A 23,192-nucleotide genomic window follows, 5' to 3' on the forward strand; every position below is an offset into this window, starting at 1 on the left:
TGGCTGTGGGTGGTGGCGTTCCTCCGACTCCCAGACCACCCCCGCCGGGATCTGCTGGGAAACGCCCAGAGCCCCACTCCTGCTCGTCCGCTCATCCTGGGCCTCGCCTCTTTTTAGGGTGAGTGTGGCCTCCTGGGGCCGCCTGTGGCTCCGTGTGCCCTTCCGACCAGGCTGCGTGTCTCATGTGCCGCTGCCCAGGCCCAGCTCCTCCTCCTGCCTCACGCACCACACAACCCACATGCAGACACACACACCACACAACCTGGGCACGACCCATAGGCACCACACACATGCACACATATCCACATCACACACCACCACATACACAACACACAACCCATGTGCAAGCACAACCACCACACACACCACATATGAAGGACACACACCACACAAGCTACACACCACACACAAATACACACACCACACACGAGGACACACACCACACACTACACACACACACACCACACACCACACATGCAGGACACACACCGCACACACTACACACCACATACAAATACACACACCACATGCACAGGACACACACCACACACACACACCACACATGCAGGACACACCACACATCCACACACAACCCACATGCACCACACACCACACACACAGGACACACACCAAACACATGCACACATACCCAGATCACACACCACCACGTACACAACACACAACCAATGTGAAAACGTACACACCACACACACAGGACACACACCACACACACTACACACCACACGGAAACACACACCACACACGCAGGATATGCACCACACAACCCACGTGCAGACACACTCCACCCACCACACACGTAGGACACACACCACACAACCCATGCACAAACACACACCACATGCACACACGGTAAACCACGCAATACACCACACACACACCACACGTGGACACACAACACACATACACACAACACATACACATGTGCGCATACCCTAAACCACTCTACCACACACACACGACACGCACCACACAACCCATGTACAAACACATATACACCACACACACCACACAAACACCACACACACATGCACACACACACCACACACACACAACCTACACATATACACATCACACACAGCAGACACCCCACACATATCACACACGTACACAAACCCCAAACCACACACCACTGCACAGACACCACACATACCCCATACCCACAAACACAGGATACACAGCACACACATCACACACAGGTACACATCACCACATGCAGGACACATGACACACATCACACCCTATACTAACACCGTGCACTGCAGACCCAGCCTGGGGGAGGCAGGATGGTGGCCCCGTCATGTCCCAGGGAAGCCGAGCCAGCCATGTCCTCAGCCCCTCCTGGGGCTGACCTGGTAGGCCTCAGCTCTGCCCTGCACCCGGGGTCTCCTCCTTAGCGGGAGGCAGCAGGACTGGAAATACCCCCACTGTTTATCTTCCCTCACACAGCTGGGAGAGCACACAACATCCGTGACTCTGCCCAGCCTGAACGCCCGGCCCACTCCCAGCCCACCGGGGGCAGCCCTGCCCCTCATCCATCCATCCCTTCTGAGCAGGCGGGGGTCTGAGGGACATGCCCGAGGAGAAGGGGCCCTGAGCCTGCCGTCCCCACTCCCGTCCCGGCCAAGCCTGTCCCTGAGGATAGTCAGGCAGGAGGAGATGCTGCCGTGACCCACTGCCCAGCATCAGACCTGGGACACTTAGAGCTGCCTTCCTTGGTTCAAACGTTTCATTTGGAAAGAACTCGGTCTTTAATTATGTCAGATTAAAGGTGCACGCTTTGGAGATTTATGGAGTCATTAGGGATGCTGTAGAAACCATTCTCGGAGCTAAGCCCACACTGGCGTTTTCCACATGGAAATTTATATACAAATAGCCGAGGGCTTCGTTAAACAGCTCAGCTTGAAAATTTAACGGGTGGTCTTCTGTGCTGCTGGCGCTCGGCTGGCGGTGGGAGACAGGAGCCCAACGCTTGCCCGGCTCCAGGCCTCCCAACTTGGCCAGTGTCCACCATGGAGCCTCTCTCTGCTTGGACCCGTGTTCATCCTTCCATGCCTTCATGGATTCCCAGCATCTTGGAGCCCAGGGATTGGGTGAGACTCACCTGCTTCTTCAGGGATGCTTCAAGAGCAAGTCCCAGGGCCTGGGAAGGAGAGGGAGTAGGGGACCCAGGAAGGAGAGGAAGTGGCCATTCTTATCCCATTTCACCCACATCACCGGGCGACATTAGCTCCCAGGAACGTGAGTACACTGAGCTCCTAGCAGGGTGTCTGTGCTCACAGCTCAGCCCCTGGGCCAGTGCTGGTCTAAGCCCAGCTCCGTCACTGGGCAGTGGACAAATCATGGACCAGCTTTGCCTCAGTGCCTTGTTTGCACGTGACAACACACTTAGTCAGCTGGCCAGACCGCAATGCAGGTTCAGTGAGGCAATGGTTGGCATGGGCTTGGGGAGCCCACTGAGGCAGGAGAATAGGGTCTGGAGGCAGGGAACCTAAGGCCGATTCACGCTGACTTCCTAGAACTGAATCAAAAGAAAACCCCCACCTCTCCATGCCCAAGTAACAAACGGGTCAGAGGCTACCCCTTTACAATGCCCCCCCTTTCCACGGCATGGCAGATGAAAAATGGAAAGCACCTCTGACTGGCTGCCTCCCACAACCAATCAGACTAGTTGCAGGCCAAGTTCTCATTTACATAGGGTGTAACCAAGTAACCAATGATAAACCTCTAGAGGGTATTTAAACTCTAGAAAATTCTGTAACCAGAGCTCTAGAGCCGCTTACTCAAGCCTGCTCCCACTCTGTGGAGTATGCTTTCATTTCAATCAATCTATGCTTTTGTTACTTTGTTCCTTATTGCTTTGCCTGTGCATTTTGTCCAATTCTTTGTTCAAAATGCCAAGAACCTGGATGACTCCTAGTTGAAACCCTCCACTGGTAACACGCTGAGTGATGGGTCCATTGTCCCTGGACGGCACGTGTGTCAGGCAGGGCAAAGTGAGGGCTGCACGCAGGCCAGTGTCTGACCAGGACCCAAGCTGGGCCCCCAGTCTCTGCTTCCGTCACAGGGATGGGAATGCATGCGGGAGGGTGTAGTGGAGGTAGGTGCCCGCGTGGAGGTTAGAGGACGTGTGTGGGCAACGCCGGGATGGGATTGGGGTGTTCTGAATTCCTGGGGTGGGGGAAGCCAAGGGATAGGAGACCCAGGGCTTTCTGCAAATGGCTTTTGAAAATACACGTTTTTAGGAATGCTAAATTCTGAAGGTGTCTAGCCAAAGTAAACAAGCACATAGGAAAATTTTAAAAATGCATAAATAAAAACTCACTGTCCTTTAGTGACAATTACTTTACTTCCAAGGGCTTTGATATAAAACCAGCACCAGTGAGGGGCCCCGGCGATGGCGCCTGTGGGAAGAATGGGGTTGAGCCGATCCACCCCGGCCTGGCCTGGCCCAGTCTCCCCACAGGCGAAGCAGTGGTGATGACCCAGCTCCTCCTCCCCTGTGAGTTGGGACCTGGAGCCAGGGCCCCGGTCCCCTGCGCCAGTGGGTCTGGGCTTTCCTCTGAGGCACCACAGTTCCCTGGAGCCTTGGCCGACAAAGCACCTCCCTCCCAAGGTGAGAAACTGCAAGACCCCGAGCCACCGAGAGGGAGACCTAACAGGAGCCCCGAGAAGGGTTTGTCCAGCGCGTGCGGGAAACTCGCCTTTGGATGCAGCTCCCTGCAGACCTGTCCTCACTGGAGTCTGGGGAAACGTGAAAAAAATACCCTCAAATCTCTGCAATCACCTGCCTCTTCCCCGCCCCCCACTAGAGCAATCAATACCTCTCCAGGTTTCTGGGGGGAGTGGGCCCTGAGGGGACGGGATTCTCTCCCCAAACGTCTCCCAACAGACAATTCCCGGTGCCTGCCTCCCTCCTCCCGTCCTCCCACACTCTCCAATGCCCCGCGCCTGCCTCCCTCCTCCCCTCGTCCGGCACTCTCCAACGCCCCGTGCCTGCCTCCCTCCTCCCCTCGTCCCGCCCTCTCCTTTAGTTGCCCCCAGGAGCACTGACTGAGCACCTAGTGGGTGCCCGACACCACGGCTGGGCCTGACCCTGGGGCAACAGGGAGGTGGCCAGGTCCTGCCCAGGGGGACAAGGCCGGGAGTCCCAGCCCCTGGGTCCCAGCCCAGGAGGAAGCTCTGTCCACTATGGCCGCCCTGTGGTGGGGGCCTCTCTCTGCCAGGACAGCAGGTGGGGGTGAGAAGGGAAGGCTGACCTTGGGTCCTGGGCAGGCCTAGGGTCTTGTGAGCATGTCCCTGGTAAAGGGAAGTTCAGGCTGTGGAGCATGGTGCCTACATCAGATTCTGGGGGTTGGCAGCCCAGGACCTGCTGCTCCCTGGAGCTCCACCCACCTGGGGCTCCACCCACCTGACTTGGTGGCACCTTGGAACTGGGCCCTGAGCCCAAGTCAGCCTTGTGTCCGCATCTGCCGTGTCACCTCTGTTCCTGCCCCTCACCCCTCCCTCCTGGTCTTCTGAGCCAGCACCATCTCCAAATAGCCTATTCCTTCCTGCAAATCACACACACATGCGGGCCACACATACCTGCTGCCCTGGAGATGGGGAAGTAGGAGAGATGAATAGAGGCCCATACATTGTACAGAAGGAGGGGCAGGTGCAGATAAAAGCAGCAGACCCAGCGGCAGCTGAGGTGCATGGAGCACGGTCGGGGCCAGCATTGGGCTGAGCACCTGACGGGCCTCATCTCGTGAATCCTCGAGGCAGCGCCACAGCAGAGGAGTTAGTGGCACCTGGGCCGAGCAGAGCAGGAGACTGAGGGTCAGAGTGGAGGCTAAGCTGCCCTGGAACTCCTCAATCTGCCTGCCCCCTAGTATGAAGCCCCCTCCCTGCCCCTACAATTCCTGAACTCCTTTTTTATTGACCAGCATTCCCCAGTGAGCAAAAGGACCTGATATTTATTCACACAATAATGTGGTTAACAAGTGTTTATGGAGCATCTATTATGCGGCTGTTCTGGGCACGAAGGAAGTTATGATGCTCAGAAAATCCAGCCCTTGCTCTCCTGGAGCCTGACTTCAAATTGAGGTCAGGGGAAGACAGATGAGAAACAAATATTAAACGTATGAAGCACACATATGACGCAGCAAGTGAGGAAATGCGGGGCAGGGACATGAAGATTCAGGGGGCAGGGAGGGCAGGGGCGAGGCGAGCTCTACTTACAGGGGGTCGGGAGAAGCCTCAGTCGCCAGGAGCTAGTGCAGCAGGAGCCGGAACAAGGAGCTGGAGTCCCGCAGGCGGGCACTGGGGAAGAGCGTCCCGGGCAGGACACCTGTTCAGCTAGTGGCCACTTCCCAGGTGCTGGGGACACCGAGGTCCAGAGGCGTGCATCCTGTAGCAGGCTAGGTCCCATTCGGGTGACCTCCTCCACACCAGGCTGTGGCCTTCCAACATCAAGGGATCTGTCTCGATCACCGTGAAGCCCTGGAAGAACAGCTGGTCGGGGGTTGGGGAGCTCAGCCCACCTGCCAACCTGCCCACCTATCTATCTGCCCACCTGTTTGTTTCACAAGCAGGCCCCCTGCGTCGCTGGCACCTGCCTGGCACAGAGCCCTTGCTGTCTGTTTGATGAGGATCACTTGTCCTGCAGCCAGAGACAGTGGGGTTTGGGTCCAGCCCTGCCACCTCCTGGCAACCTAATTTGTGAGAGCCGTTGAGGGGGAGAATGTGGAGATTCCTGCGGGATGCTCCCGGCCATGTCTACAGGAAGTGCTTAGTAAGTGTCAATCACTGTATCTCCTCATCCCTCCGCAATCCAGCTTATGGGGCTGAGTCACACTCTGCCTCAGTAAACCATCTTCTTTCTAAGTTCCAACAGGTCAGGGAGGCTGTCTCACAATTCTACGCAGTCTTCAGCACAAAATCTGTCTGTCATGTGTTTTCCATTCCCCATTATTCATCCATCCATCCCCATCTATCCATCCATTCATCCACCATCCATGCATCCACCCACATATGTACTCATCTATCCATCATCTATCCACCTTCTAACCACCCACCTATTCACCAACAAATCCACCCACTCATCCACCATCCATCCATCCACCCACCCATTCATCCATCCATCCCCACCCATCTATCCATTCAACCACCATCCAGGCATCCACCCGCCCACATATGTACTCATCTATCCATCATCTTACCACCCACCTATTCACCAACCAATCCATCCACTAATCCAACATCCACCCACCCATCCACCATCCATCCATTCATCCACACACCATCTATCTATTCACTCATCCATCCATCCATCCACTCATCTACCACCCATCCATCCACCCACCCATTCATCCATTATTAATCCATCCATCCCCACCCATCTATCCATGTATCCACCATCCATTAATCTACTCACATATGTACACATCTATCCGTCATCTATCCATAATCTAACCACCCACCTACTCACCAACCAATCCATCCACCCATCCATCCACTTATCCACCATCCATTATCCATCCATCCATCATTCATCCATCCATCCCCATCCATCCATTCATCCACCATCCATTCATCCACCCACATACGTACTCATCTATCCATCATCTATCCACCATCTAACCATCCACCTACTCACCAACCAATCTATCCATCCACCCACTCATCCACCATCCATCCATTATCCATCCATCCCCCATCCATCCATCCACACACCACATATCTATTCACTCATCCATTCATCCACCATCCATCCCTCCATCCATCCACTCACCCACCCATTCCTCCATTCATGATCCATTGATCTACCCATTTCTCCACCCATCTATCCATCCATCCATCTATCCATCCATCCATCCAAACATTTATCTAAAATTTCATTATCCCTTCTGCCAACTCACCACTTACTTTTTAAACACTTCCTGAGCTGAGGAGATGCTTGACTCTCTGGGTATCCTCCGTGTTCAACAGATAAACTCACTCCGTGTGCAGGGCCTTTGCTTCCATCTTTCAGGCATGAATTCTAATGAAGATGTGAGTCTTCAGTGTCTCTGGTATGACCTTGCCAGACCTCTAGTTAGGATGGTGGTTCTCAGCAGTGGCTGTTCATGAAGCCACTTGGAAGTCATTGGAAGAATGCTGGAACCCAGGCCCCTACGTGACATTTGGATTTCACTGGTTTGGCATGTGGCCTCGACGTTAGAGTTTCTTGAATCCCTCAGGTGATTATCTTGTGGAGTCAGGGCAGAAGCCCTTACTGGATCAGGGATGCCGTCCTGATTGCAGCTGTGGAAACAAAGGCAGCAAGGCTTGGTCTCTGCCTCCTGAATCCCAGAGTCTGTGGGGTGACACAGCACTCAAAAGGTTTCACTTCTTATTCCCAGGCTGCTTGGATTTAAGGTCTGTGTTTGTGTTTGAGAGAGGTGGGTCACTATTTGCTGGGTGAATGTGAGATGAGTGTATTTTCTCCCTGGAGGTGCCCTGCCTAGCTCCCTGGGGTGTGTTGTCCGTGATACAATTAATGGTGTTGTCAATGCCGTAGAAAAGATCGGCGTCGGCCCCACGGGAGCCGGAAAGCTCATCCTGCCACTGAAGTCAGGAGAACCACAACTCCTGGGCCAGGGCTGCTGCCCGGAAAGGTGACCGGAGTCTGCTGCCAAATTGCCAGCCTGGAGGCCTCATTTCCATGCCATAATCCCATAAGCAAATAGCGTGATTGTATTAGTTGAGGGTAATTTTTCACACTTCACAGTAGCTGCTCAGTTTGCCTCCCGATTCTGCTGACTCTACTAGGAATTTGCACAATAAAATAATGGAAAAACTACAATAACCAGTGAAGCCAAACCAAAAATCTCATTCAATCAAACTCTCAGAGCAGAGAGCACTCACCGGCCGCGGTCAACCCTCTCCCCTCCAGTGCCCCCGTCTGCAGGTTTCCTCCCTCATCCAGGCCTGGCAGGGCAACAGTTCAGCTTGCTCTGCGGGCATCTAGGGCACCGCGCTGGGTTTACCTTGCCTTCCTCCTATTTTACTTGATTTCACCGGATTTTCATACCACACACGTTTCTGAGCCACAAAGCCAGGTCCATGCATGGAGTGGGCTCCTGGTGTAGAACAGAGGTGGAGGCCTGGAAGAGACACCTCCTAGAGGCAGGACAAGGTCCTCAGTCCCGGGGCTGGAAATGCTCCCTGGCAGGCATGGCCAACTGGGGGCTTGGGAGTAGGAGAGAAGGCACCGTGGTCTTTGCAGGCTTCTCTCGGGCAAGGGGCAATTTGAGCTGGCAGGAGAGAGAAAGGGGTGAGTGTACTTCTTGCAAACTGAAGGCTGGGGATAGCTCTGCTTGTCAACGCTGACACCTGTTAACTGCAGTGAGCTGGGGCTGCTGGCCCCAGAAGATCTGTCCACGTCCTAACCCCTGAACCTGTGGGTTTGGATTCATTTGGAAAAAGGGCTTTTGCAGATGTGGTTAAGTTAATGATTTCAAGATGAGAAGGTCACCCTGATGGGCCCAGGTGGGCCCCCAAGTCCAATGCCAGGTCTCCTCTTCAGGGAATGGAAAGGGAGATTCGGGACTCAGACACATGGAGGGGACGGAGCCTGGGACTGGAGCCGTGAGGCCGCAGGAATGTGGGAGCCACCAGAGGCTGGAAGGAGCCTAGAGCCTCAGGAGGCAGCACAAAGGCTGGAAGGAGCCTAGAGCCTCAGGAGATGGCACAGGCCCGAAGACACTTTGAGTTTGGATTTCTGGCCCCAGACTGTGAGAGGATGAACACAACTTGCTTTATGCCCCCAAGCTCGTGGTGGCTCCTTCCAGCAGCCCCTGGGGCCTCGCACACGGGGCTCTCTCTCTAGCAGACCTCGCGTCCCATCTCACCCTTTCACAGGCCCTGTGAGCTCAGCCCCAGCCTGTTCCCATGCCCCAGAGCTAAGCAGTGGAGACTTAGAACTGTCCGAGCCAAGCCACACGCTCAGGAAGGGAGTGAGTCGGAGTTGCCTTTCTACAGAATTTTCCTCGTCGAGCTGGCAGGCCGGGTGGGGGCTGTTTTTGTGGACGGGGGTCTGAGAGATTTGCCCAGTGTCGCAGGGCGTCCCAGGCTCTCTCCTTACCTGCAGTCAGCAGGATGGACAAGCAGGGGCTCCACACGAGGCCAGGGGCTGCGAGGTGGCCACGGCAGGCAGAGCATGAGAAGGAGGCAGAAGAGGAGGAGGAGGCCTTGGGGCTCCAGCCTGGGGCAGCAGCTGTGGAGGAGGCAGGCAGGGGAGGGAAGATGGAGGTGGGGCAGCATTCCCAGCCTCTGTTGTCTCTCACGTGGGGGGTGTCTTGGCCTCCTGATGGGATGGTGGGTCACTGGCGGACAGGAGAGGGGTACAGGCTGTGGGCCAGTCACATTCACATTCAAGTTCTTTACCAGGGCAGAACCAGATGGAGGAACAAGGGGCTGCTGACCGTGTGGGGGTCTCAATGAGCATTTTACATGTGTGTCCAACATTTACCCACTGGGTACTAGGAACAACCACTAACCTAATAACAAACGTAGACTTTTTCACTTTTTGTTCAAAGTTGGGGATTTTAAAAAATGTCCACAGCCAAGCGTGCCACCCTGCCCACCGCTCCGCTCCTCTGTGATGTCACCCTATTTCCACGGCCCCCAGCGTGGGTATCATCAGCCCCTCTCTGATGGAGATGTCTATGAGCCTCTGTGGAAACTTGCTTGTATCTAAATGCTGTGTCTTCTTGCCTAGTTTTCCTATCAGCAAATCGTCTCTCACTTTGGTGTAAATTAACTGTCCTCCTTCAGTTTTCTTTTCTGGTTTTCTAGACCAAGCAGCATCTTAGGAGACACATTAATGGTTTTATATTGAAGTAGAGTAGGTCACTTTCTCCCAGTAGAATCATGAGGCCCTACAAAGCTCCCCAAATATCCATGTTTTCCCCACCATCCCCAGTTTCCAGGGAGGGGCACATGGCTGATTTTCCTGAGTGAAAGGTGAGCGAAGCAGTGTGGGGCCCAAGATCACTGTGACCCGGTGCCTCACTCCCTCCTTCTTCCATTCCCGAGCTGGGCTGGAAGTTAAGGGCTGAGATGGGGGAGCTGCAAACGGAAGAGGGTGGGTTCCCCCATCACCACCCAGAGGAACCTGTGCCAGAGAGGCATGTGGCTGCCCTTGGGGCTGGAGTGTTGGTGGTGCCAGTCCCATTTCTTGGGATCTCTGAGGAAGAAGAGCAGTGGGACAAGTGGTTTTGCATTTCCACCTCTGGGTGCTGTCCACATCATACTTATTGTAAAAGGTCAGAGTGGAAGCCTGGGGCAGTTCCCAGCTTGTCTCTGATCAGTCACTGCTCTTATGATGTAGGGCACCATTTAACACAGGGTAACAAAGCCTCCGTTTATCAGTCCAAAGGCAGGGAGTGCTTGGCTGGCAGGGTGACTCTGCTACCTCATTAAATGGCTTCAAACTCTGAGCTCAGGATAGCTGCTCTAGCTCCTGCCATCACATCTGCATCCCAGCTAGCTGGAAGGAAGAATGGGCCAAAGAGAGTGCATGCCCGTTACTTTGAAGAACATTTCCCAGAAATGGGGCCCATTCCTTGTGCCTAGGTCCCATGGGACAGACCTAATCACACAGCCACACCACGCTGCAAGAAAGTCCAGAAAAGCTTGCCTCTATCTGGGCAGAGCCATGTGCTCAGTTGCACTCGAGGGTATCTCAGAGTTTAAGAGGAAGTGAGTGACTGGAGGTTGGCAGAGAGCTGGCAGCCAAGCCTGGGCTTCTCCTCCTGGTGGGTCTGAGGCCAGCTGGCATGAGGTCTGGTCGAGAACTGCCATCCTGACCCAGAAGGCAGGAGGTGAGGCTGAAGACTTGGTGGAATTTACTGGAAAGAGGTGTTTCCAGAGTTCACTGGTCTGTGTTTTTCTCAACATGGGCACTGCTTCCTTCAGCACAGCAGGTAACCTGCTGGGAGGAACTGGAGCCAGGAGCAGCTTGGTCACTTTCTGGTCGTCCATGTCACACTTGTCACGGATAAAGTCTGCAGGTTTCAAAGTGTGTGGTTCCCCTCACTGTATCCCAGGAGAGCTACATGCTGGGGGTGGAGGTCTGCAGCAAACCTCCAACCACACAGACGCTGGTTGCGAGTGTTCTGACCACAGCACGGGCAAGCAGGGGTCACTCGGAACTCATTTTGCTAGATGGTGTTGGATAATTCCTGTTCCCTTTTTTCCCAGCTGTTCAATGGCATGCTTTGTTTTGGATAGAATCGGACTCCCTCCCCAGCAGAGAGCGGGAGGCAGGCATTGTGATCCCTGTGCACTACAGTAGCTGGTGTTCTAAAGATGCCCTGCGTGGCATGGCCTCATATTCTGGAGCCAAACAGACTTCTGGGGGGATGGTGTCTCCGTTTCCCCAACCCCAGGGGCCCAGCTGGGAGGAGACAGCAGGCAAGGGTGTCCCCTGCTGATCTTTCCACAAGACCTGCACTCAGTCCCCACATCAATGGGCACTGCCCACCCAGACAGCACCTACTCCTGTGGGCAGCACCCAGAACCGGTGCTCACGATGGGGAAGTCAGGACTTTGGAGAAGCGGGAAACTGGAGCCCGAGGGCAGGGTGCTCAGGAGAGACCCATCCAGACAGCAATGCTCAAGGCCAAGTGAGACCAACGACCTGGAATCCAGGGAGAAAACAGTGCCAGGTACTGACCACACATGGGACGAGGGTGCTGACCAGAGGGATGAGGGCACTGACCACAAACAGGGACGAGGAAACTGACCACACACAGGGTGAGGGTGCTGACCACACACAGGACGAGGGCACTGAGCATGTACACAGGATCAGGTATCATAGGAGGGAGTGAAGAACTCCCAGCAAAATCCAGGAAGGAGCACGGCAGAGAGACCTGGGTGTGGACGGAGAGACCCGGGTGTGGACAGAGCACTGCAGAGAGACCCAGGTGTGGACAGAGAGACCCGGGTGTGGACAGAGAGACCCGGGTGTGGACAGAGACCTGGGTGTGGACATGTTCTTCTGTCATGGGGAGGAAGAGAAGGGAGAGCAAGAAGGCAGAGGAGAGGAAACAGGAGGGAGCGAGGGAGGGCGAGAGGGAGAACACCCCTCTGTAGTAAGAGATGCATCTCGGGCAAGCTGCGTCCTTCCTCTGCTGGAGGCCCCCATTGCTCTACTGTGCTGGGTGGTGTCGGCAGGGTGGCAGATAGAGGGGTCTCCTGGGCCAGCCCATGTGTCCCAGGAGTGAGGTCCACTCCCGCTGGGCCAGCCCATGTGTCCCAGGAGTGAGGTCCACCCCCGCTGGGCCAGCCCATGTGTCCCAGGAGTGAGGTCCACCCCCGCTGGGCCAGCCCATGTGTCCCAGGAGTGAGGTCCACTCCTGCTGGCGACATGAGCAGTGCTTTCTCTAGAGGGTATGGGGAGGCAGAGGAAGCCCCTGCTCTTCCAAGCAGCAAGGAAGGGTGATAGCCTGCACCCTTCAGGCCTTCACCATGGCTGCACTCTCTTCTGAGTGTAAGAAGCTTCTACTGTAACAGACCCTGGCAAGCAGGAGCTGCGATGGGGCAGCCCAGACCCAAGGCACAGGGAGCTGAGCCCGGGGCAGGCCAGGGCTGGGACCCTGCAGGGGCCGATGTAGGGCTGTAGTCATTACAGGTGCTCGGTGGCCTCCCTACGAGGGCAGAGCCCATCCTCAGGAACGGTCACCACCGGCCTGGCCTCCGCTTCTTCCCTGGGCAGTGTCTCCCTCACACCATCTCTGAGCCTCAGCCCTGTCTGTTCAGTGAGGGGCTGAACCGCTGCTCCCAGAGGCCCCTCTGCCTGGGCAGCGTCCGGCCTCAGGCCCTGACTGCAGGACGTTTGCAGGACGATGCCTCCTGCCTCCCTCCGGGGACAATCTCTCACATCCTCCCTGTTCCTTTCCATGTGGCCTCTGGCCGCCTCGCATCTGAACTGCTGAAGTCCTGTTTCTCTGGGCCTCATCCTCTCCTCCATCAAAATGAGGAACCGTGGACTGCAGGAGCATTGAGGAAGCCACGTGGAGTCCCCGCTCTGTGTTGAGCCCCGTAGGGTGCCCTTCCTGTGGGCGGCCATTCTGGGCGTGGCGCCCCCTGTCTGAAATCAGCAGCACACCAGCTCCCTGTGCTCCGTGTGACAAGCTGCCAGGGACAAAGGTAGCACCCGGACAAGCACCCAGGCTTTTCTTCCTCATTCTAAACCCCATTGGAGCCGCAATCTCCAGGTATAATAGCAGCTTGTTAACAAATCCTGTTTGTGTTGCATTTGCTGACAGAGAGACTCCCCTGGGACCACAGCAGTAGGCACGGCATTCCTGTGACAGAAATCAATGCCACAGATCGAGGGATGGAGCCACCGGCTCCCCAGGCTGAGTCCCCTTCCGGTAACACGGCCACACTCCTTCCTCCCTCCAAGAAGATCCCAGGGAGGGCGATCCCGCCTGGATGCGTTCCTCACTCCCTTTCAGGTGGCCCCAGACGCTGGGCATTGGGAGGTGGCCACATGGGGACATGGACATGAAGGCTGGGTAAGTGTGGGGACCAGGCGAGCTGGCTGCTGGACACCCACCCACCCTGTGAGCTGCACCAGACCCTACTCTCTGTGCTCTGGACCCCAGGAAGCAGTCAGGATTGGGGGGGTCCCACTCACAGGCCCCGGCGCCTTCCACCTGGGCAGCTGCCATGTGCACCCTCAGGCTTCAGACTCCTGGCCACGGGGGCGGTGGTGTGGACCCCAGGCCGTGTGTGCAGATGCAGCAAGGTGACATCAGCCATACATTCACTGCGTCACTCCTCACCCAGCTCCTTCTCAGAGCCTCACTCGGAACAGCACATCTCCCATCTCAGCTGCCCTGGCCACTTCTGTGTAGGAGGCAGGAGGGATACTCCCACCACCCCGACCCTTACAGATAACAGGCTCAGAAAGGCACCTGACCCCACAGCCCTTCAGTTGGGTTTGAACCTGGGTTGCTTGGTTTCAAAGCACAGGGGTTTGTCCTGCCCAGTCACACCCCTCAAAGTGTGGATGTGGGAAACACCGCTGAGGAGCCTGGACATCCAGGAGGGCTCAGGAGACCCTTCCTGACTGCACCCCGGACAGGCCCACGACAGGCAGATGGGACACAGGTCAGGATGTGGCAGGCACACGGCCTGGCTTCTAGACACTTCTCAGACCTGGGAGAGGAGAGAGGGACAGGTGGTGTGGGCGTGCTGGAGGCGGGAAGGGGATAAGAGTGTTGGTTATCACGGGCAATGTGGACACACGGCCAGGACAGGGGTCCACAGTATTTCAGGAACCTCCCACAAGACGAAACTTCTAGACAGACTTCCCTCCCTGTGAGATACCTTAGGCTGTAGTGGAGAGGTCGCTGAAAGAATCGATATTTCTAGAAATTAGCTTTGGGATCAGTTTGCGAAGCTGCATCTATGCTGACAAGTGAATGAAGCCCGTGGGCAGGGAATACACTGAGGCCTTAGGCCTGCAGAAGAGCACAGGTGCACCTGCGCCACATGGGCCAGAATCAACCCAGGTGAATTCCAGCCCATGCCATTGATGCCAACCATGGACGAGGAATCCAGCTGGGGCTGAAGTTCCGCTACGCTGTCAGTTCCACTGGGGATGTGTGTTGCTCCTTCAGCCTCTGCCAGACACACAGGCCCGGTTCCAGCACCCGGGTGTTTGAGGGTGAGTGTGTGGGAGTGAGGCTCAGGAGGAACTGTGGGATCCAAAGTCAGTGAAAACGGTGAGGGTGAGGGAGGAGGGAGGATGGTGGAGGGCAGGGGTGAGTGAAGGGCAGAAAGGGGCGATGGGGTGAAGGGCAGAGAGGGGTGATGGGGTGAAGGGCAGTGGGCAATGGGGTGGAGGGCAGAGTGGGGATGGGGCGGAGGGCAGGGGGTGATGGGTCGAGGACAGAGGGGGGATGGGGTCGAGGGCGGGGGGGATGGGGTGGAGAGCAGAGGGCATGAGGCAGTGGGCAGGGGGTGGAGGGCATGTGGGGACAGGGCAGGGGTGGGAGGTGATGGGGTGGAGGGCAAGGGGGGACATGGCAGGAGCAGAGGGGGTCGGGGCAGAGCGAGGGGGAATGGGACACCATTATTGGAGACAGTGGCAGATATAAGCACTGGAGAAAAGCAGGTAAAGGATGTGCGGGGCAGGGGATTGGAGGGGACGCTTGAGCAGACACTGAAATAATCCGTTATGGGAAGCGTTATGGGAGAATGGGAGCCAGGAACTGAAATTGCAGGGGGTGAGCGTGGTGGGAACTCTGAGGGGCGAAGGGTGAGGCCGGCATCCTGGTGTTCTCACACAGGGCAACCTCTCATTTCATTTCCGTTGTAGCCAGTGTGTGAGTCAGCCAGGGAGCCTCAGCCTTTCCCACTGGCTTCAAAAAGATGTGGAGGCTGATGGGGAGGAGGAAGGTTCCCCAGAGCAGGAGGCCATCTGATGTAATGAACATGCCTTCCTAAGACGCTGCCTGGGCCGCAGCCAAGTGTGGTCGCTCTCTGAGCAATCGATGCTGCCACAAAAGGTCCTGGCAGCAGCGGCACGACCCCTGCACCCCGCCTGCTGCATCCAGGACAGCGCCGGCCTCCCACGGCGGCTCCCGGGAGAAGAGGAGACGCCACTTTGGCTGCTGTCCCGGGGAGAGGGGGGACAGTCCTTCGACTTCATGCAGGGGCTTGTCAACCCCAAAGCTTCCTCCGCCGCCATCTGGGTCTGACGCTCTCCGCTGGAAGGTGTTCAGGAGCTGGCACCCCACGTCCACCAGCGCTGGCTTCAAATCAAACAATAAACAGCATTTAAAAAAAATTAGTCCCACAGGTGAAGCCAGAGTCCCCTGCAGATGCCTGTTCCTTCACACTCCGCGCCTTCCACTGCCTTCCAGTGGTTGCACTCTCAGGCCTGTGGACGCACCTCGGCCAGAGCAAACCTGTAGCCTCTTCCCCAGCACGAAAGGCAGAAGGTGAAAATCACCAGGTCCCTGTACCATCAGGAAGGACCTGAACAGCCTCTGTCACCGTGTATAACAAGTCTCACTGACTCCTTCTCCGGAGCAGGGCTCCCGGGTCTGAGGCAAGGCTTCAGGATGCTTTCCCGGCTCAGCCGTGGCCCTCCATTACCTGCCCTGCCCGGCTTCTGCCCCACAGGGCTGCCTGGGGTCCTGGCCACTTTGGGTGAGGAGAGGATGGCTCCAGCCTCCTGACCTTGGAGGCTCCACAGACAGAAGACGCCGCCCCGGGACATGAGGGCCCTGCCTGGCTTTGACCCTCCTCTGATAACAGGGGACAGCCGATGCCCTGCTGGGCCCACGGGGAACAGAAGCCAGTCTGGGCTGGGCCATCCCCTGCAAGTGGTCCACTCCCCCCACCGGCTGATGGTGGAGTCTAGGCTGGCCTGGTGACATGTGGGCCTCCAGAGGTGACAGAAGGGATATTCAAACTTCCAAGGCCCCAGAGGCCTCCACCCCTGCCCAAGCACAGTTCAAACCTTCAAGCTCTTGGGGGTACTTTTGTGATGGCTGGGTTGGGGCTGGTGCTTCATCTTCTCTTCCAGTCAGTGGAGTGAAACAGCAGGTCCATCTTGCATGTCTGTGTCTGCAGACGGATGGTCCAGGGCCATCCCTACACCCTCCTGTGCTGGGCCCGCAGGGAAGCCAGTTCTACCAGCAGTCTGCAGGTAACAGGGTCCCAGGCCAGGCGCTCCCCTTGACCCCCTGTGGGTTTGTTCCTGCCACCCGCTCTGCCCCTCCCTGGGTGCCCCCCACCCCCAGATCTCCTGCAAGATGGACGTCAGGGTCCTGGGAGAAAACAGTTCTGTGCTGGGGCCGCTTTGACTCCCAAGGACCCCGTGTCCAGAAGAACGGCAGCTTGTAACCCCATCCCTGTAATGAGAATGAAAATTAATTCAATTTGTATCATTTCCTATAATGCACCATCCTCGGCCTGAGATGGAAATTGTGAGATGTTATTTTCTACTGGAGGCGCGTGGTTTTTTACAGGCAGTGTTAGAATTTTAATCCTTCATGTTCTGAAAAGCATTAGAATCAGTTAGCCTTCCACAGTGCACCGTCTCCCCTCGCGATGAAGCCTGTTCCTTCTGAGGGGCTCCCGTTGGAGGACAGCAAAGGGCCCCACAGTGGAAGGGGTCTTGGCTCTCAGAGCAGCACCAGGTGGCCCAGACAGGACCCAGACATCGTCAACGCCTGCACCTCCAGGGGCCAGGCGCCATGTGTGAATGGCCAAGCTCTCAGAAACAGGGATCATCGGATGAGAGTCCCCCCGGGTGCCTAGGGAGCTTCCGGGGTCTCTCCTACTCTGGTAGGCTCTGGGTACAGGGTCCACGATGGCACACAGCTCCAGAGGCTGCACAGCCCTGTGCTGCCCCGAAGCTGGGCTCCTCTGGTTGGGGCTCCCCTGGTTGGGGCTCCCCTGATCTGGGACATGAATTTCTCTCCCAAGTCCTTGCCACTGCCTGGGGACATCCACCCTCCACCTGTGCGGAATCATCAACACACCCAAGCACAGCCTGGCCGCCTTCTCGTCCTGTGGCCCCGCCTACAGCCACCTTGTGAAAGGGGCCCTCAGTGTTGAGCGTGCCCAGAGTGCTTTCCGGGGATGGACCTCACCTCATTGCCTCCCGAAGGAACCCTGTAGCAGCAGCTGGACCACCCTCCGTGCTTGACAAACAAGGAACCTGGGGCTTAGAGAAGCTGGATGACCTGCCCAGGGCCACTGACATCCTGGGTGGGCACCTGCTCCCGGCCACTGTCTGTGGGCTCCTGGGTTATGGGGGGCACCAGTGCTGGAGTTTTACTTTCTGGGAAACGTTCCCATCTTGATACATGGAGATGGTGCAGTGTGGCACTGGGGGACACAGACAGTGACTCTGCACTGGAAGCTTGAATCTTGTCCCCTGTTCCATGCTTGTGTCTCTGTGGGTGAGTGGCTTTATCTTCCCGTGCCTCTGTTTCCCTAACTGTAAAAGAAAAATAATTTCCTCCCTACCCTACAGGGTCATCAGGGTGTCCAGCATTAAATCACCCAGTGGTAGCTCCCGGCATGAGTGAGTGGTGTGTGACGAGGCTGTGGCTGCAGCCTTGAACCTCAGGATAACCCTGTACTCCTCGTACGCTAAGGGGAAACTGAGGTACATGCCCACTTGCTCACGGTCACGGGGCAGAGGCCGACGAACCCATGGCACCTCTCAGGCCCCGGATCTGCGCTGGCTCCCGTCCACTGCCTTGCTGTGGGCATGAGGAATGGAAACGCTTCCAGAGCAGGGCCTGCCTCTCGGGGTCTCCTCCCGGCCAGGTGCCCTGCCCAGGAGTGGCGGCTCCATCCGTCCAGTGTCTTCCACCTGGACATGCACCCCGTCCTGGCCACCTGAGCGATTGTTATTCTGCACACGGAACACCCAGAGGCCTTCTCGAGTGGAGCCGTATTAATAAGTGTGCACAAGGGCCTACCGGGTATGGAAATTCACAGTGAAGTTAATGATGTCATTAATATTGTGCCCGGCTCCGCAGAGGCCTAAGTGGACCACCCATTCCTCGGTGGCCATTTTTCAAGCTGCAATCTCGTGCTGTTCCTGGAAGAGCTGAGTGCCCTGCCACTAACTAGTCCTCCACAGAAGACCTTTACGCCGATAATGCTCTCCTTTCCCGATGAACTCGCCTCTGCTTCCCCGAAAAGTGCTCCTCCATGCTGGCACGAAGCAAGCGTCCAGTTAATAAAGTGCGTCGTAGGGAGACGCGTTCCTCCACCAGTTCTCTCTGCTGGCCCCGCCGAGCCCTCTCTGTGCTATCGAGAGAACCACCCGGCTGCTGCCCACACCGGGGAGGGCACTGGCCCCAGACCAGAGGGGCGTCACCTGCCCTGGAGGACAGCACACTTGCCACCTGTTTTCCTAATTCAGTGGCATAAGTCAAATACTTGCTACCATACAAGCTGAAGGTGTCTGCTGTGGCGAACCCACATCACACAAGGTGTGACCTGAGGCAAACCAGTGGGGATGTTTACTCTTCTGGGTGAAACTGGGCCTGTATTCGAGGCCACCTTCCACTAAGTAGCAGCTGTGGGACCTTGGAGGAGGCACTGCTTTTCCTGATGCAGTTTCTGTCAATGTCTGTGGGGATATTGATACCCACGCCACAGGCCACACAGACCCCATGGGCACCCATGCTACACACCAGGTAGACACAGTGGGGTGGTTGTCTCTACTCACAGGCTCCATTTTAAAAACCAAAAGCAGAACTAACAAACAGAAAAACCCACACAGCCTCCGTGAATTATTTAGTAATGATTAACTTCAATTTTTGTCTACTGAGGAGATGTACCTAGCTCCGAGCCGCACCCTCTGCAGAGTCCGACAAACCTGGTGCAGCAGCGCTGAGCTGATGGAATTCCCCCAAAACACCCAGCCCTGAGCCGATAGAATCCCCCCAAAACACCCAGCCCTGAGCTGATAGAATCCCCCCAAAACACCCAGCTCCGAGCCGACAGAATCCCCCCAAAACACCCAGCCCTGAGCCGATAGAATCCCCCCAAAACACCCAGCCCTGAGCTGATAGAATCCCCCCAAAACACCCAGCTCTGAGCCGACAGAATCCCCCCAAAACACCCAGCCCTGAGCTGACGGAATTCCATGCAAACCACCCAGCGCTGGAGCTGATAGAATCCCCCCAAAACACCCAGCCCTGAGCTGATAGAATCCCCCCAAAACACCCAGCCCTGAGCTGATAGAATCCCCCCAAAACACCCAGCCCTGAGCAATAGAATCCCATGCAAACCGCCCAGCGCTGGTGCCTGTGCCCTCTGCTCGTGGCCAAAGCTTCGGTTTCCAAGTGCTCTTGTAGGTTGTGGGAGGAGACTGTGGAGACCCACGGCCTACTTTCCTGGGCTCCCCAGGATCCCCAATCTCCAGATAAAAAACCACTGATCCAGGTCTCCTTTCCCTCAGGAAGAAGGAGGACCCAGAGGACATTCCTCACCCATTATCCCAGGTGGGGATTCCGTCTGGTAGCCTTGGTGGGCACTGCCCCGGTGCCTTGGGTTGGGGGTGATACGGCTCAGGGCTGCAGGCCAGGCCCTGGAAGCAGGGAGGAGGCTTGGTGGGAGCGTTTAGGAGCGCTGTTATCTCACGTGCTCGGCAGACCTTTGGAGGATGAGAGGCTGTCCCACCGTTGGGGGGAAGGCACTTCGTGGGTGGTCCTTTTCAGTGCGTGGCTCTCCGTGTGGCACCACTCTGCAGACCCTCCAGAAAGCACCTGCCCAGCGGGAGGCTCCGCAGAAGGTGCCTCTGCTGTGAGGAGGCCAGAAACTCCCAGCACCGCGGTAGGGACGTCGTTGAATTGAACCTTTCTAGATGAGGCTGGTCCCTCAGCAAAAAGATCCCATTTCAGCACAATAGGTTTCCTTTTCCCATTTGGAAGCCTGAGATCAGAGGACTTGTGACAGAATAATTCCTGTGATGGAAAGTAGCATCTTCCTGACAGTGGGTCTGCCGGCACGGACGGGGCCCCCAGGACCGGGACTTCTGAAAAGTGAAGGCGGCCGGACAATACGGGCAGTGGCCACAGTGCAAGGACACTGTGCTGCGTGCTTTCAAGACGCTGTGAAGGCCAGTGCGAGAGAGGCCTTGAGCCACGGTGCCGGCGATGGGCGTGGACCCAGGGTGCACCCAGGCAGCAGGCCTGACCCGCAGCTCCGTGTCACACCTGGAAACGCCGTGAAGGGGCCAGAGGAGCCTGCCCGTGGCCCAAGCCCATGTGGATGGAGTGCAGAATACACGGGAGGAAGAGGCCCAGCTCCTGTTTGGGCTTGGTGGGCGGAGGTGCCCTGGGACTGCCAGGAGGAGGTCTCAGGGCTGGTTGGGGAACGTTGCTGGGGAGTGGCAGGCTGTGTGGACAGGAACATTGCTGGGGAGTGGCAGGGGAGCCTTTTGACTGATCCCACTGATGGGCCATGAGGAGCAGGACCTGTGTCACTTTCTGGCTGGAGTATACAAGGCAAGAGCGGATTTTGTGTGTCCTGCTGTGGAGAGCTGGGGTGAATGCCAGGGTCTCGGGAGGGGAGGAGGTGGAAATGGAGGGAAACTGAGAGCCCACAAGGGCTTGGGCCACAGACAGCCTCCTCTGGCCCCTTCACGGCGTTTCCAGGTGTGACACGGAGCTGCGGGTCAGGCCTGCTGCCTGGGTGCACCCTGGGTCCATGCCCATCGCTGGCACCGTGGCTCAGGGCCTCTCTCGCACTGCACTTCACTGCGTCTTGAAAGCACGCAGCACAGTGTCCGTGCACTGTGGCCACTGCCCGTATTGTCCGGCCGCCTTCACTTTTCAGAAGTCCCGGTCCTGGGGGCCCCGTCCGTGCCGGCAGACCCACTGTCAGGAAGATGCTACTTTCCATCACAGGAATTATTCTGTCACAAGTCCTCTGATCTCAGGCTTCCAAATGGGAAAAGGAAACCTACTGTGCTGAAATGGGACCTTTTTGCTGAGGGACCAGCCTCATCTAGAAAGGTTCAATTCAACGACGTCCCTACCGCGGTGCTGGGAGTTTCTGGCCTCCTCACAGCAGAGGCACCTTCTGCGGAGCCTCCCGCTGGGCAGGTGCTTTCTGGAGGGTCTGCAGAGTGGCGCCACACGGAGAGCCACGCACTGAAAAGGACCACCCACGAAGTGCCTTCCCCCCAACGATGGGACAGCCTCTCATCCTCCAAAAGTCTGCCGAGCACGTGAGATAACAGCGCTCCTAAACGCTCCCACCAAGCCTCCTCCCTGCTTCCGGGGCCTGGCCTGCAGCCCTGAGCCGTGTCACCCCCAAATTTCTGTGGTGCTGAAATCCTAACCTCCAGTGTAAACGGGATTAGCGCCCTCAGCAAAGGGACTCCAGAAAGAACTCTTGCTCATTTTCACAATGCAACAACCAAAGGTGAAATCAGCTGTGTGCAACCAAAAGAGGACTTTCACCTGAACCCACGCGCTGGCTTTGATGGCTGAAAATCATCTGCGTGCAACCAAAAGAGGACTTTCACCTGAACCCACGTGCTGGTTGTGATGATCACTTTTGTGTGTCAACCTGGCTTAGCCACGGGGTGCCCAGACAGCTGGTAAGACATTATTTCTGGGTGTATCTGTGAGGCTGTTTCTGGAAACGATTAGCAGTTAAATCCATAGACTGGGTGAAGACCCACCTTCCCCCGTGTAGGCAGGTACCCTCCAAGGCTCTGAGGGCCCCAGTAGAACACAAAGGTAGAGGCAGGGAGAATCCTCCTCTCTGTCTTCTGCTCAGCATTGGCGCTCCTGGCCCACGCCTTTTCTGATTCTCCAACTTGCAGAGGTCAGACTCTGCATAATTGTGTGAGCCAATTCCTTATGATAAATCTCCTTCTATACATCTCTATACACGCCCCACTGGCCCTGGTTCTCTGAAGAACTGTGATACGCTGGCACCCTGATCTTGGACTTCTGAGGCTCCAGAACGGTAAGAAATAAATGTTTATCACTTAAGTTCCCCAGCCCGGGATATGTTGTTATAATCGCCCGAACCGACTGAGACAGGCATGAATCCCACGCGTGGGGGACCCACCCTCACGACCTGTCACCTCCCAAAGGCCCAGCTCCCTATACCATGTCCTCGGTGGGTAGGGTTTCAACATTTAAATGTGGGGGACACTCAGTCCATAACAGACCCAGCTCCCTATTCCATGCCTTGGTGGATAGGGTTTCAACATGTGAATTTGGGGGACGCACTCAGTCCATAATAGAAGCAGAGAGGTAGCCTCCTCAGGCTTCGACACCCATCCCCTGGGTACAACCGAGGGACCCTGGGGGAAGACGTTACCTTGTGTTTGTTGTTTTAAATACATTTTGCTTTTGTAATATAAAGTGAGTATAGAAAATACTATATATATTTAAGTCTATGGAACAGTTTATGAATACATTGTACTGCTAGAAATGCAGGTCACATTCCGTTACTAATAAACAAGATGATTCTGCTGACCTCCTGCCTTTAGTCGTGGGAGGCCAAGGCCGCATCCATCCCTGCAGGTCATGAAGCCTTCCACTGCATTTTCGCCGTTCTCTGATCTGGGGTTTTTCAGCCTATAGAACTGCCTCTCCCAGACAAGAGTGAAGATGGCGAAGGGGTGTTTT

At 56.3% G+C, this 23,192-nt stretch overlaps 1 long non-coding RNA gene across 1 annotated transcript in view, besides 3 other annotated features; it reads left to right on the top strand.

The window, feature by feature from the left end:
- Positions 1 to 16,968, top strand: part of LINC01310 (long intergenic non-protein coding RNA 1310) — a 31,617-nt gene extending 14,649 nt beyond the window's left edge. Inside the window, exons 2-7 of the long non-coding RNA NR_038944.1 lie at positions 3,635 to 3,694; positions 5,595 to 5,794; positions 11,248 to 11,714; positions 12,986 to 13,197; positions 13,317 to 14,725; positions 15,380 to 16,968. This is a non-coding gene — a long non-coding RNA (long intergenic non-protein coding RNA 1310). The remainder of the gene's footprint in view (positions 1 to 3,634; positions 3,695 to 5,594; positions 5,795 to 11,247; positions 11,715 to 12,985; positions 13,198 to 13,316; positions 14,726 to 15,379) is intronic.
- Positions 1,248 to 1,417: an enhancer, noted in NCBI's record as "experimental_63550 CRE fragment used in MPRA reporter constructs". NCBI's record gives its function as "activates a minimal promoter by MPRAs in K562 erythroleukemia cells, with activity observed for both the introgressed and non-introgressed 22:49278563 or rs28604929 variant alleles {active_cell/tissue: K562}" and the evidence as "EXISTENCE:reporter gene assay evidence [ECO:0000049][PMID:34662402]".
- Position 1,333: a transcriptional cis regulatory region, noted in NCBI's record as "Neanderthal adaptively introgressed variant 22:49278563 (GRCh37/hg19 assembly coordinates) or rs28604929 in the experimental_63550 CRE". NCBI's record gives its function as "modulates activity of the experimental_63550 enhancer by MPRAs in K562 erythroleukemia cells {active_cell/tissue: K562}" and the evidence as "EXISTENCE:reporter gene assay evidence [ECO:0000049][PMID:34662402]".
- Positions 21,038 to 21,538: an enhancer, noted in NCBI's record as "H3K4me1 hESC enhancer chr22:49298268-49298768 (GRCh37/hg19 assembly coordinates)". NCBI's record gives its function as "activates a minimal SCP1, AML or CMV promoter by ChIP-STARR-seq in naive H9 embryonic stem cells {active_cell/tissue: H9 hESC(naive)}" and the evidence as "EXISTENCE:reporter gene assay evidence [ECO:0000049][PMID:30033119]".

This window comes from Homo sapiens, chromosome 22 (genome assembly GCF_000001405.40).
Source record: "Homo sapiens chromosome 22, GRCh38.p14 Primary Assembly".
In the NCBI taxonomy this organism is placed as follows: Eukaryota; Metazoa; Chordata; class Mammalia; order Primates; family Hominidae; genus Homo; species Homo sapiens.